The sequence below is a fragment of the Homo sapiens genome, chromosome 11 (assembly GCF_000001405.40).
Source record: "Homo sapiens chromosome 11, GRCh38.p14 Primary Assembly".
Taxonomy (NCBI): domain Eukaryota; kingdom Metazoa; phylum Chordata; class Mammalia; order Primates; family Hominidae; genus Homo; species Homo sapiens.
The window spans coordinates 897407-911363 of record NC_000011.10 but is presented as its reverse complement, the minus strand read 5'-3'; the positions used below and the strand labels follow the sequence as shown (position 1 = coordinate 911363).

At 59.2% G+C, this 13957-nt stretch overlaps 1 protein-coding gene across 20 annotated transcripts in view, besides 3 other annotated features; it reads left to right on the top strand.

The window, feature by feature from the left end:
- CHID1 (chitinase domain containing 1) overlaps positions 1-13957 on the top strand; it is a 47356-nt gene that overhangs the window by 3851 nt on the left and 29548 nt on the right. For 9 of the 20 annotated variants that reach the window (XM_011520300.3, XM_011520299.3, XM_047427479.1 and 6 more), the window contains 6 exons: positions 6505-6658; positions 8253-8402; positions 9034-9166; positions 10384-10428; positions 11254-11360; positions 11963-12024. In XM_011520300.3, coding sequence (XP_011518602.1) covers positions 6505-6658; positions 8253-8402; positions 9034-9166; positions 10384-10428; positions 11254-11360; positions 11963-12024 — 651 coding nt within the window. Of the gene's footprint in view, positions 1-553; positions 724-2718; positions 2823-6504; positions 6659-7585; positions 7661-8252; positions 8403-9033; positions 9167-10383; positions 10429-11253; positions 11361-11962; positions 12025-13957 lie in introns of those variants that run through there. The other 11 variants (NM_001142677.2, NM_023947.4, XM_047427485.1 and 8 more) reach the window with 5 other exon arrangements.
- Positions 32-871: a silencer, noted in NCBI's record as "silent region_3048". NCBI's record gives its function as "represses an Ori minimal core promoter by ATAC-STARR-seq in GM12878 lymphoblastoid cells {active_cell/tissue: GM12878}" and the evidence as "EXISTENCE:reporter gene assay evidence [ECO:0000049][PMID:35858748]".
- Positions 7774-7944: a silencer, noted in NCBI's record as "fragment chr11:903420-903590 (GRCh37/hg19 assembly coordinates)". NCBI's record gives its function as "represses an EF-1alpha promoter that drives an FKBP-Casp9 reporter gene in an ReSE screen in HepG2 liver carcinoma cells {active_cell/tissue: HepG2}" and the evidence as "EXISTENCE:reporter gene assay evidence [ECO:0000049][PMID:32094911]".
- Positions 13244-13754: an enhancer, noted in NCBI's record as "H3K4me1 hESC enhancer chr11:897610-898120 (GRCh37/hg19 assembly coordinates)". NCBI's record gives its function as "activates a minimal SCP1, AML or CMV promoter by ChIP-STARR-seq in primed H9 embryonic stem cells {active_cell/tissue: H9 hESC(primed)}" and the evidence as "EXISTENCE:reporter gene assay evidence [ECO:0000049][PMID:30033119]".

Genomic DNA, 13957 nt, shown 5'->3' with positions numbered 1-13957 from the left:
TGCAATGTGCAAGGCGGGGGTGCGGACCGAGAGAGCGCGCGTTTCGGGCAGTCCCCGCTGGAGACAGCGCAGTGGGCGCCATCGGCCTGGGGATGGAGATGGTCCACTCAGGCGGGGGTCGGGGGGACGCCAGGAGTGGTGACTCCGGGTCCCCGGGGGAGCGTGCCGGGGCGGAGCCCACCGCGCGGTTCTCCCGGCACCGCCGAGCCGGGCAGAGGCCCTGGAGCCCAAGGCCCCGCGCGGCCCCACGCCAAGGGCGCCAGGCCTGCCTAAGAGCCGTGGCGCTGGGAACCCGGCTACCCCTGGGCCGGGAACCTGATAACCAGCTCCAGCGCGAGCACCAGGGGCGCTCAAGGTGAACGCGCCGGGCCCGGGGTCCGCCCCCGGCGCGGCCCCGCCCCGGCCCCGGCCCCGGCCCCGGCCCCGACTTTCGGGCAGCCCTGCCCAGTCCCCTGTCCTGGCCCAGCCCCTCTCCATCCCAGCGTGCCGTGCGCGGCGGCGGCGCGCGGGCGCCTGGGGCGGGACTTCCGGCGCGCTGGAGCGTTTTCCGGCCGTGCGTTTGTGGCCGTCCGGCCTCCCTGACATGCAGGTGAGCCCCGCGGCGGCCGGCCCCTGCTCCTCCTCCTTGCACGGCCTCAGTTTCCCTCCCGCAAAGTGGGCGCGCCGGGCAGCGAGGCTCGGCCCCGGGAGGACGGGCGTGGGGTCGCGGGCGACGCCGGGCGGGTGCGTGAGAGAGAGCAAGTGTGTGAGGGGGCGTGTGAGAGGGTGTGAGGACGAGGGTGAGAGAGGGTTGCTATGAGAGCGAGGGTGAGCGAGAGCGGGGGTGGAGGGCGAGTGTGGACGGGGGCGCGTGTCGGGGGGACCGCGAGTGGGAGGTGGAGCGCGTGCGCTGGGGCGAGCAAGCCTGAGAGCTAGGCGCGCTGGGTGGAAGGGGCCTGAGTGCGCAGACAAGGGATGTGGCCGGCGGGTGAGGAGTGTGTGAGCGCGCGGCTCGTGTGGCAGAGTGGTGGCCATCGGGTCCCCAGGACCCCCAGAGGGAGCAGAGGCAGTAGGGCTCCAGGCGGGCTGCCCTCCCAGTGAGGGGCACGCGGTCCCCGTGAAGGGTGGGCGCATCAGACGCGATCCCACCCACCCTTGGTTCAGCCCCAACCCTTGAAGCTTCCATTGCTGACTGTCCAAACTGGAGGGTGACCCGCCCGCCCGTCCGCCTCGACTTCCTGGGCTCTAGTAATCTCTTAGCCTCCTAGCTACTTGGGACTACAGGTGTGCGCCAGCGCACTCAGCTAAGAATTTTTTTTTTTTTTTGAGACAGAGTCTCACGCTGTCACCCAGGCTGGAGTGCAGTGGCGCGATCTCGGTTCACTGCAACCTCCGCTTCTGGGCTTAAGGGATTTTCCTGCCTCAGTCTCCCGAGTTGCTGGGAGTACAGGCGCACACCACTGCACCCAGCTAATTTTTGTATCTTTTTTAGAGACTGGGTTTCATCACGTTGGCCAGGCTGGTCTTGAACTCCTGATGGGGTGATCTGCCCGGCAGAAAAATATTTTTTGTAGAGACCAGGTCTGGCTGTGTTGCCAAAACCAGTCAAAAACTCCTGGCCTCCCAAAGTGCTAGGATCACAGGCCAGAGCCGCCATGCACCAGTTAGTTCTTCAAAACACAACAGAACAGGAGTTGTCAGTGCGTCCATCGCAGAATAGAGTTAGCTCTGATTGGCTGCTGTCGCTCTACACATGTACACACATGCACAACACATGTGCACACATGACATACACGTGTGCTGGGCTGTGACGTAAAGTGCATTTCTTACTGCTGGTCTCCATGAAAAGCATTGGAAAGCCCCTGCTGTGACTCCCATCATTTCCATCAACACCACCGAGGAGGTCCTGGACCTACGGACTGGGAGCGCAGGAAAGTGGGAGCAGTAGCGCTCCACCTTATCTTGTTACAGAGCGGTTTCTGGGACCCCTTTGGGTGACCAGGGTCGGGGCCTGTGCCTCTTCATAACACAACACATTCCCTTTGTGTGCGGGGCCGTTCTGCCCAAGGGAAGGTCATTGGCATTTGGGGAAGAAACGGTTTGATGCAGGAACACAGTGTGTGTGAACCTGGGAGTCTGTGTTATGTGAAGAGCATGATGGAGAGTGTCCTCACGGGCCTCAGAGCCGAGCGGCCGGTGAGCAGTGGGGAGCGGGAGAGGTACCAAAGCCCAGACAAGGGCCTGGTTGCAGTGTGAGCACCCCTCACACATCACACACACCATCTCCCTGGGGCAGTTGTCTGGAAAGTTCCATGGCAAGTCAAAGAAGCAGCCCAGCATTTGTGAGCAGCCTGTATCCAAGCACTCCATCACAGAGCGGGCAAGTTAAGCGCGAGTGGACAGAGGCAGTACCCTGGCCTTGTGTTCAGTTAGGTTCTCCTAGTGTCCCCTCTGCTGGACACATGCTGGCAGGACTGTCTTCCTCTTCCACCCTTTCCTCTTCCTTCCCTGAAGTGTGAAATCACAGGTTGGGGGGCAGGGAGGTCATAGGCAGAGGGGCCACTAGGTGGGTGGACAGTGGCCCTGTTTCAAATCTGCAGGACGGCAGGTAGGGGCAGAGACCCAGCCCTATAGTGGTTGGTCACTGGGTACCTGAGTGTGCCCTCCAGTTACTCCTGGGCCAGTCCCCTGGAGAACCACCGTTTGGTTTTTCATTCCTTTCCTTCCTCCCTGACCCAGATTTCCACCCAGAAGACAGAGAAGGAGCCAGTGGTCATGGAATGGGCTGGGGTCAAAGACTGGGTGCCTGGGAGCTGAGGCAGCCACCGTTTCAGCCTGGCCAGGCAAGTGATTCTGGGCCGTCTTCCCTGTGCCATGGCCAGAACCCTCCCCACCTTCCCTGGGGCTGTTGCTGACTCAGACCAAGCCTCAGCTGCAGCAGAAAGATAGTGGGGCTAAGGGGAGGTGGCAGCAGGCTGCTGCCCTTGGTTCTGATTCTGGGATGTATCACTGAGGAGAGGGGCTGGAGAGGTTGATCGGGGCAGAGGGTGGTGATCTGTGCCTGGGCCTTCTTATTCCCCCTGCACAGCCTCTCGGAACTGCCGTGGCTGTTCAAGCACTCACTGCCTTTGCCTGTGGCTCCATGTACTGGGTGCTGCTGTGCTTGCCCTGTGAGTTCCCTTCCTAACTCCCCATAAGCCTGCAGGTCAGGCTGTCTTGTGGCTCCCTGCCTCCTAGGTGGGGGAGCTTCACTGGTTGATCTTGCTCCAGGAGCGTGTTCTTTCTATGCAGGTGTGTTGTGGGTGTATTGGGTACCAAAGCATGCAAACTCCCTGCCTGGGGGTAGCCACAGTCTCCTCAGTCTGCACCAGGAGCACCAGTCTCACCCAGGGAAGAGACAGGGCAAAGTGGGGCAGCGTGTGCCTCTGCAGAAGAAAGCAGGTCAAGGGGACGGTTTCAGAGGAAGTGAAAACAGGTTCCTGGCCAGGGAGTCTTTTGGGTAGGAGGGTAGGCACTGTGGTAGGCCTGGCTCTGGCAGCATCTTCTGACAGGTGCACCTGCCTGGCTGGGGTTCCTGGAGCCTCTTGGGCCTGAGCTCCCATATACTCAGGAGCCTGTGACCCAAGGGGAAGGCCATGTGCCCAGCTGCTGGGTAGTGAGTTGGGCTGAGCTCCCCACCTGTCAGGTATCTGCCTCTGCCCAGGCTGTGTGGGCCTCTCAGCTGGTCTAGAGGGGTCTGTGCTGCCAGAGCTGTGAAACTAGCCAAGAGCTTCTTCCCAGCAGTGTCCCAAAGCTTCATGAAGGACTAACAGTCTGGCTGGGCTATGGTGGTGGTTCAGCTCCCACCGCCGCTGCCCCCAACCCCAGTGAAAGATAGAAAGTAGAATCACTTTTTTTTTTTTTTTAAAGACAGTCTCGCACCGTCGCCCAGGCTGGAGTGCACTGGCACTATCTCGGCTCACTGCGAACTCCACCTCCTGGATTCACACCATTCTCCTGCTTCAGCCTCTCGAATAGCTGGGACTACAGGCGCCTGCCACCATGCCTGGCTAATTTTTTGTATTTTTAGCAGAGATGGGGTTTCACCGTGTTAGCCAGGATGGTCTCGATCTCCTGACCTCGTGATCTGCCCGCTTCGGCCTCCCAAAGTGCTGGGATTACAGGCGTGAGCCACCGCGCCCGGCCGGAAAGTAGAATCACTTTTGTTGGTGGCCCCTAGAACCTGAAAGTGAACAGTGTAATAAAAGTTTAGTGCAGGAAGACCAGAAGATACAGATAAAGTAAAAGAGAAGAAACAATGACCAGTAATTCCAGATAGCCTGCTCATTTATTTTTTGTTTTGTTTCTTTGTTTTTGAGAGGGAGTTTTTGCTCCTGTTGCCTAGGCTGGAGTGCAATTGCGCGATCTCGGCTTACCGCAACCTCTGCTTCCCAGGTTCAAGTGATTCTCCTGTCTCAGCGTCCCGAGAAGCTGGGATTACAGGCATGCGCCAGCACGCCCAGCTAATTTTGTATTTTCAGTAGAGACAGGGTTTGTCCATGTTGGTCAGGCTGGTCTCGAACTCCCGACTTCAGGTGATCTGCCTGCCTTGGCCTCCCGACGTGGTGTGATTACAGGCGTGAGCCCCCGCGCCCAGGCTACTTTTTTGTTTTGTTTCTTAAGCTTCCACGTGAAGGGCATGTCGTTTGCTTTCTACCACCCCTCCCTACATGCTTTCTCTGTGGGACTGAACTGTGGAAGTTCTGTCTTGTAGCGTCTTCATTGACCGGCACACCACGAGCATGGCAGTGCCTGTCTGTGTTCCAGCATCTGGGAGAGCCAGGTCCATGAACATCCTCATGTTTTCAACGTATGTGGAAAATCCCCCATGGCTGGGCGCGGTGGCTCATTTTGGGAGGCAGGCAGATCACGGGAGGCCAGGAGCTTGAGACCAACCTGGCCAACGTGGCGAAACCCCATTTCTACTAAAAATACAAAAACTAGCCGGATGTGGTGGCACGCGCCTATAATCCCAGCTACTCGGGAGGCTGAGGTAGGAGAATCGCTTGAACCCAGGAGGTGGAGGTTGCAGTGAGCCAAGATGGCGCCACAGCACTCCAGTGTGGTGACATAGCAAGATTCCAACTCAAAAAAAAAAAAAAAAGTCCCACAGCCGGGCGCAGTGGCTCACACCTGTAATCCCAGCACTTTGGGGGGGCCGAGGTGGGCAGATCACCTGAGGTCAGGAGGTGGAGACCAGCCTGGCCAATGTGGTGAAACCTCATCTCTATTAAAATACAAAAATTAGCCAGGTGTGGTGGTGGCTGGGATCCCAGAGTGCTGGGATTCCAGGCATGAGCCACCGTTCCCAGCCGGGACATTTTTTACTGGAATGTCTTTTCTTGATTTGTGAGATTTATTTGCATGTTATGAATAGATTATGGGTAGAAATCCGTTGTCAAGTGTGTTCCAAATATTCTTTCTGGTTTATTATTTGTCTTCACATTTCCTTCTTTATTTCCTGAATGAAAGTCTTACATTTGTATGTAGTTCTACTCCAGTGGTATTTTCTTTCCTAATCTCTCCCATTGCTCATATAGCTGGAAAAGCCTTCTCCACCCTGAGACTGCATAAATAGGTAGCTATATTTTCTCCTAGTACTTAACGTGGCATCACCACCATCATCGTTATTATCGTAGGCTTCTCTGAGCCTACGATTTTTTTCTTTTTTTTTTTTGAGATGGAGTCTTGCTCTGTCCCCAGGCTGGAGTGCAGTGGCATGATCTTGGCTCACTGCAACCTCTGCCTCCTGGGTTCAAGCGATTCTCTTGCCTCAGCCTCCCGAGTAGCTGGGACTGCAGGTGCACGCCACCACACCTGGCTAATTTTTATATTTTTAGTAGAGATGGGGTTTCACCATGTTGGTCAGGCTGGTCATGAATTCCTGACCTCAGGTGATCCGCCCGCCTCAGCCTCCCATTAAGTGTTGGGATTACAGGCATAAGCCACCGCACCCGGCCCAAATATTTAATTTTTGTAGGATCTCACTATGTTGCTCAGGCTGGTCTCGAACTCCTGAGCTCAAGTAATCTTCCCACCTCGGTCTCCCAAAGTGTTGGGATTACAGGCGTGAGCCGCCACGTGGCCCAGCCTGTGGCTTCATTATTTTACACTTAAGCCCTACCATGGTTTGGCTTTCTTTGGGTTTGAAGGAGGAGGTGGGAACCAATGCTTTTCTAGATTGCCAGTGGTGGTCAGGGCGGCCTTGGGCTGTGAGGGGAGGGTTCTGTGGCTGATGGTGAGGAAGCTTCTTTCTGGGTATCTAGGAGGAACCAGTGGCTCAGTCAGGAGGCCCAGGAGTACTGGAGAATAGACTGTGGCCGCCAGGGCTGGTCCAGGTCAGGGCTCTGTCCCAGTGGCCAAGGGTCCATCCAGTGCCATGAGGACCCAGGCCCTATTAGGAGAAAGTGGCCCCATCAGCAGAGGGGTTGCCCATGTGCTGCATTTCTCTGCCGGTTGTTTGAATGTGCTCTGCTTTCCCTGCAGCCCTCTGGACCCCGAGGTTGGACCCTACTGTGACACACCTACCATGCGGACACTCTTCAACCTCCTCTGGCTTGCCCTGGCCTGCAGCCCTGTTCACACTACCCTGTCAAAGTCAGATGCCAAAAAAGCCGCCTCAAAGACGCTGCTGGAGAAGGTAAGGGTGGCCTGGGGACTTGAGGTGACTGTACTGGCTGAGGGCTGATCCATCATCCTCTTCTTTCTGTCCACTGGGGCCTGTGAGCCAGGAGGCTCGAGGGGCTTGGCTCCTCACAAAGGCACCTGATGAGCCCGCAGCCGGTGGGTGGCCTGTGTGGCTCTGGGGCTCTGGCCAGTCAGCACCTCTGAGTGAGCAGCCTCTGGAGCCAGGTTTTGAGGGCAAGCAGGGTGCCTCCCCACTCACCCCACGTGGGGCTTGTTTTATGTGCCAGTTGCCAGTTTCCATGCTCTACCTCTCGTTTATATCACCTGCATCTTCATCTTGCTGTCTTTATCATGGCCTTGAGCTGTGTTTGCCTCATGCTTTTTGGGACGTTCCCCTGGGATGGCCCTGGGGATTGCACCTTCAAGGGTGTAAACTCATAGAACCACCTCTCAGCCCCAGCAGTCCCCATGCCGCTGGCCAGACCCTGCCACAGGACTGTAACTGTGACCTAGTCCTGGACTGGCAGATGCTTTCTCTGTGCTGTATGGGGGCAAATAAACCATGCAGTGGACATCTCTCTCTCACGGGGCCGCTTGGGGCGAGGTCAAGGGGAGGCTGAGCCGGGCCACAGAGTGTGGACAGAAGAGACAAGTTGATAACTGGATGGAAGGTTTCCAGGAGCAGAGGTGGAGTAGGGGCAGGTGTGACATGGCAGGAAAAGACTCGCATTGGCCAGGGGGGTGGCAGGCAGTGGTTGACCAGCAGGGTTGCATTGGTGGGGGTGGTGGCAGGCAGTGGTTGGCCAGTAGGGTCGTATTGGCGGGGGCGGTGGCAGGCAGTGGTTGGCCAGCAGGGTCACGTTGGCGGGGGCGGTGGCAGGCAGTGGTTGGCCAGCATGGTGGCGTGTGCCTGGCATGTTCTTTTCTTTTTTTTTTTGAGGTGAAGTTTTGCTCTTGTTGCCCAGGCTGGAGCGCAATGGCGCGATCTTGGCTCACCGCAACCTCTGCCACCCAGGTTCAAGCGATTCTCCTGCTTCAGCCTCCCGAGTAGCTGGGACTACAGGTGCCCGCCACCATGCCTGGCTAATTTTTGCATATTTAGTAGAGATGGGGTTTCACCATGTTGACCAGGCTGGTCTCCAACTCCTGATCTCAGGTGATCCACCTGCCTCGGCCTCCCAAAGTTCTGGGATTACAGGCGTGAGCCAATGCACCCAGCGCACCTGGCATGTTCTTGTCCAGCAAAGCGTATGGCCCTGGAGTGCCCGGATGGGTATCGAGTGGCCAGAGCTGGTGCAGACCGTCCACCCTCACATGCAAGGAGGGAGCCACCATAACTGTCTGTCTGCCTGCCTGCCTTCCAGCCCGGAGCAAGGGTGGGAAAGGCCCTGTACCGTCGGCCAGTGTCTGTTGACGGCCAGAGTGCTTCTGAATTGAATTGCCTGCTGTGGCCTCGATCCTCAACATACAGGGTCTCCGGGTCAGCAGCACTGTGTGGATCCAGAGACTCGGCTGCTGGCTGAATGGAAGGGACTTGCTGGGTGGGGCTCTGTGCTCTACACTGTGGACAGATGACTGAGGCTTTTCTCTCACTCCTTTTATTTCAGAGTCAGTTTTCAGATAAGCCGGTGCAAGACCGGGGTTTGGTGGTGACGGACCTCAAAGCTGAGAGTGTGGTTCTTGAGCATCGCAGCTACTGCTCGGCAAAGGCCCGGGACAGACACTTTGCTGGGGATGTACTGGGCTATGTCACTCCAGTAAGTTGGGGCCCTCACAGTGCAGAGGGAGGTCCTGAGGCTCAGGTGGGCTGCCCTGGCCCCGTGATGGCCTCTTCTGGCCAGTCAGTGATGGGGGTCTATGTTCTGATCTCCCGGAGCTGCTGCTGCTGTGAGGCTACGGTGGGAGAGATGCCATTCTGGAGATGTCAGAGTGTAAGACCCTGGGGGTCTCTCCAGGGGCTTGCTGTGCTGATCTCTGTGGGTTCCCCCTGAATCCAGAGGTGGGCTCGCAGGTCGTCTGGGGTCAGGAAGTGGATGTGCAGAGCCAACCCTGGGCCAGGGAGGGGTGGGTTCTCACACCCAGCCTCCTCTTCTCTTGCTGTTCCCAGCTGCCAGCCTGCAGCAGTGGTGTGCACTAGCTCCAGGTGGGGCTTAAGACAAGCACCAGTCACTTTTGGTGAAAGGGATGTCGTGGCCTGGGTCCCAGGCTGTGAGTGGCAGTCCAGAGTAGGAGAAGGATACCCCAGGCCAGGAGCTGATGTCAGTCCGGGCTGGTATCTGTCTACGCTGGCCAGCCCTGGGCACGTCCAGAGGCGCCAGAATGACAGCACCATGGTGAGACAGGTGCTCACTCACCTGTCCTCCGTCTGATGTCTCCATCTTTTGCCAGTGGAACAGCCATGGCTACGATGTCACCAAGGTCTTTGGGAGCAAGTTCACACAGATCTCACCCGTCTGGCTGCAGCTGAAGAGACGTGGCCGTGAGATGTTTGAGGTCACGGGCCTCCACGACGTGGACCAAGGTTCTCATCCTTCCTGCTTGACTGTGCTTGCCCCACAGGCTGAAAAGAGTGTGAGTGCGAGAGCAGGGGTGTGTGTGTGTGAGTAGGTATGTCTCTGTGGGTGTCTCTGTATGGGAGTGTGTGTGTGTCTCTGCGTGATTTAAGTGTGAATGTGAGTGTGTAAGTGTGAGACTGATGATGTGGGAGAGAAGAGATTGTGAGTGTGTTGAATGTGACTGTCGGTGTGGACATGTCTAAGTGTGAGACAGTGGGTGTGAGTGTTGAGTGTGGTGACTGTGAGAACCACGCCCTCACCCCTTGGGGCCCAGCCGGCAGAGCAGGCCCATGGTGTGGGCTGGTGTGCTAAGTGGGAAGGTGAGTGTGGAGCAGGGCAGGCCTGGTAGAGGGGGTTTCTGAGGTGGTCGCCACGGTGGGACCCTCTGCAAGGCCAAGTTGGTGCCTCAGAGTGTTCCGCCCAGGTCTGCGTGTGGTCCAGGTGGCTGTGAGGGTGGCCTTCCCTTGCACTTCCGGGCTGCACACAGGCGTGTGCAGGACAGGCTCTACAATGACTCAGGCAGCCTCTGGGCAGCAAACGGCACGGGCCATTGGCTTCTCCTCCTCTGTCCCTCTCTCAGCGATTTTCATTCAATGCCAGGGAGGAAGGTGGGGTTCAGGCGGAGGCTGCCTCCTGATGGCACATCCTGACCTGATGACGTCTGCCCGAGTTTACGTGGCTGCGCCTTGCGTTTGGGCTCGGACAGAGAGAAATGGCAGGGGAAGTGTTAGGCAGTTTTGGAGTTCAGAGAGCAGGAGTGGTTTTCCCTGACACTGAGAGAACCGTGGGGAGGTGATGGAATGTCAGCCAGTGTCAGGGCCTGGCGGGTCTGGCCATCCCTCAGCTCGGAGAAACCCTGACCGTCCCCAGGCCCTAGGATGCAGCTGCCTGTTCCCCTGGCCGGCCACAGGCTCTGAGCTGTCCCAGCTCAGGGAGGGTAAGCTCAGAGCTGCTCTGCAGGGTCAGGAAGGGGGCCTTGGCCAGAAGGGTGGAGAGTTGGGGTCAGGAAGAGGGTGTGGAGAGCCAGCCCTGGGCCAGGGAGGGGTGGGTTCTCACACCTGCCTGCCCGCCCCTGCCCTTCCCATTGCGTATTGTGCGGCTGCCACGTTTTCCTCCTCAGGTAGGCTGGGTCTTCCAGTTGGGCGCACGTGCCTGTGTTGACTGTCCCCTCCATGTCCCACAGGGTGGATGCGAGCTGTCAGGAAGCATGCCAAGGGCCTGCACATAGGTAAGTGCGGCAGGCCAGGAGTGGAGGCCCTGATGGCTCAAACTGCGGGGGTGGACAGGTGGGCACTGGGGTCTCCACGTGTTCCTGATCACCCGGCTGTGCTGCTGCGGCACAGGTTACTTTGACCGCTCAGAGATGAGGCTGGCCCTGGCCTGGCATTCACAGCCCTTAGTCTGGCTGGAGTCCTGAGCTCTCCTCCCCACACAGGCTGTGGCCCTCCAAAGCCAGCACCTCCTTGGCCAGTGGCATTGCCCTAATTGTTCTCAATCCCATTTCTTCCTTCATTCACATGATGAGTCCTATCAGGGCAGCTGGGGCCAAGCCCTGGGCTTGGCCTGAGGGTGATGCTGACCCTGGCCCATCTGTGCCCCTGTAGCTCACGGCTGGGGAAGGGGGGACATGTGTCCCCACGTCCAGTAGCAGCCTCAGAGGCAGTGGATTAAGAGCACAAGTTGCCAAGGGAGAGACTCTGGGGGATGCTAGAAGCAGGTGACAGGGCTGAGCTGGAGCAGCCAGAGTCTGTCCCAGCCTCCCTCCTGTAAGGTGGGGCCACAACCATGCTGAGCCGTGTGGGGAGCTGGTGTCAGGGGACCAGGACTGTCAGTGTCTGCTCGCTCCTTCCCCACCACCCCTCCCTCTCCAGCCTGTGAGGCTCTGGGACATCCTCTCTGGACATGTGGGTGCTCCAGGTGGCCTCCCTGCCCCTCACTGTCTGGTCTCACTTCCCTCTGGAGGCCAAGGGGATGCCTTTTTGAGGCAGCAAACAGCAGGGGCCCTCCAGCATCTCCCAGTCACGGCCCCCGTGTGTGTCTGTTGCCCCTGCAGTGCCTCGGCTCCTGTTTGAGGACTGGACTTACGATGATTTCCGGAACGTCTTAGACAGTGAGGATGAGATAGAGGAGCTGAGCAAGACCGTGGTCCAGGTGGCAAAGGTGAGACCTGTGTGCTGCTCCAGCCTCTGAGCACAGCCCCCCGGGTCCCACCTGGCCGTCTGGCTGGGCCTCCCGCGAGGCCTCCACTCGGCTTTTCTGTCTTCTGCCCTGGGCACCTTCTGGTGCAGCCCCCATCTTCCAGGGAAGGCAGCATCAGCCAGGCTCAGGCTGCTGCTCGCTTTCTTGACCATGGGTCCTCTGGAGGTCCCAGGCATGGGAGACCTGTCTGCTGGGCCAGGGTTCTTCCCTTGGGCAAAGCCCAGCTGCCTGCTACCCTCCTGGGAGGGGACCCAGCCCTGCTGGCTGCCAGTATGCCTGGGCCTCGGGTCAGGGAGCCCCCAGACCCCCGGGGTGGGGTTGGGGGAGGTGCATGGGTCGGCAGAATGCACGAGACCACTGGCCCCTCCACTCCTGTTCCTCTGGGACCCCCACACTTCCTCCTTCAGACAGGCCCTTCTGGGCATACAGCCCAGGCTTGGGTCTTGCCTCGTGAGTGACCAGGCCACAACCTGACCATGTGGGCCGAGGTGGCGGGCTTCTTGTCTTTCCACCCATCCCTCCTGGGCCTCCAGGCCCTCCTCACCTGTGACTGCTTCTTTCAGAACCAGCATTTCGATGGCTTCGTGGTGGAGGTCTGGAACCAGCTGCTAAGCCAGAAGCGCGTGTGAGTGGGCACAGGTGGTGGTGGGTGGCCCTCCTCCTGGCCCTGGTGTTTGAAGGAGGCTGGAGGAAAGACCAGGGGTTTGGGGAGGGCCTTCCTTCCACAGTCCCTGTGCCTGGGGTGGGGACGGGGCTGCACAAAAGATGGACACCTGCTCAGAGAAGTGGAAGCAGCCTGTGGCAGGCAGCCGGCTCCGAACAGAAAAGTGGAAGCAGCCTGTGGCAGGCAGCCGGCTCCGAGCGCATTGCTGCGCCAGGCCTGATGCCTCCCTTGGGCGGTCAGAGGAACTCGAGGACCCTCATTCATGAGGTCTTGGCAAGAGAAAGATGGCCCAGATGGTGACAGCAGGTTGAGCTTGGACACAAGCAGAAACTCCTCACTGAGCTTCGGGGAGCCTTCCTGGGGGTGTCCCTGAGCACGGCCAGGACCCGTGGTGTGGACCGCCATGGCGGCCTCTGGGGAATGCCTCCCAGGCCCCCAGGCTTTGTAGCAGTCCACTCCACCGGGAGGCGGCCACAGCACTCCCTCACGCCTCCTTTTGCCACATCAGAGCCCAGCCCACCCATGACCCTCGCGGGTTCCCACTCCCTGTGGGCCACATGACCAGGAACGGAGGGAGTGATAGGAAGTGCCATGGCTCCCCCACCTGGCCTGGACTGGACTGACCACAGCCCTGAGGAATGGCCCTTCCTTGGTCCTGCCCAAGCAGCCCTGCCAACTCACCGAAACAGCTACCTTCCCTGTTCTGCCAAAGTGGGCGACTGCCCCGCAAAAGATAGCAGGGGGACAGTACTGCTCCCCAGGATGTTGGTAGGGGGCGTCCTCGACATGCTCAGGACAGGTGGACTCCTCTCACTCCACTGGTTGCAACGAGCGAGGATGGTGCGGTCTCCACCGCGGGTGCCTGGACAGCAGAGCCCTATGGCAGCTGTCCAGCCCTTCAGCCTTCTGTGTGAGCCGTGGGTTCTGGAATCGGCTCCCCCGCCCCCACCACCTGAAGTAGTTCTGGTTGGGCTTTAAGAGCCCGGGCCTGAGCTCAGGCTGCATGGTGTCCCCTGCAGCAGCCATGGCACTTTCATCCCATTGCTGCTGTGGGCAAAGGAGCTGCAGGTCCAGGCTCTGCCCACCTGGGGCAGCGTCCCCACACAGATCTTAAGCTTGAGGGAGGGAAGGGACATTGTTGAGGCAGAGCCCATGAGGGGTAGGGCAGGATTCCTGCCCAGGGGCTCAGAGGACCCTCAGCCTGGAGCCGGTACAGGCCCTGCCCCTGTGAGTGGCTCCAGCCTCTGCAGCCCTGCCGCTCCTCCCACTGTGCTCTGAGGGACTCACTGGCTGGGAGGCAGCAGTCCAAGGCTCTTCCCGGAACTGCTCCCAGGCCCCGGCTCCAGAAGAGCCCTGGAGTCCTGTTTCCTGGTGTCCAGACCCCCACACCCTCCGCCAGCACCCCTCAGTGTGGTTCCCCACTGGATCCTGGTGCCCAGATCCCCACACCCTCCGCCAGCACCCCTCAATGTGGTTGCCCACTGGATCCTGGTGCCCAGACCCCACTCCCTCAGCCAGCACCCCTCAGTGTGCCCCCCACCGGATGTGTCCAAGAGGCTCCTCTGTCTGCTTCCCTCCTGGGAGGCCTGGCAGCAGCAGGAAGACAAGGAGCTGTGTGAAGGGAGGCTGGGAGGCGCACTGCAGTGGGGGTAAGGATGTCCGCAAGGCTATGGGGAGCCTGTCGTCTGCACAGCCTCTGAGGGGCCCCAGCTTTGCCGGAGGATCAGGTGCCTGCGTTCCTGGCTGAGGGACAATCCCAGGCCCTGCCTTGGGGGGTTCTTGCTGAGCCGTGGGCAGTGGACCCTGCCGGGGCTGACCTTCCATTACCCTCTGAGGAGAGGGGTGTCTCAGCAGGAGACAGAGCCCGCCTGCTTCCAGCCTTCTCACTAATCCT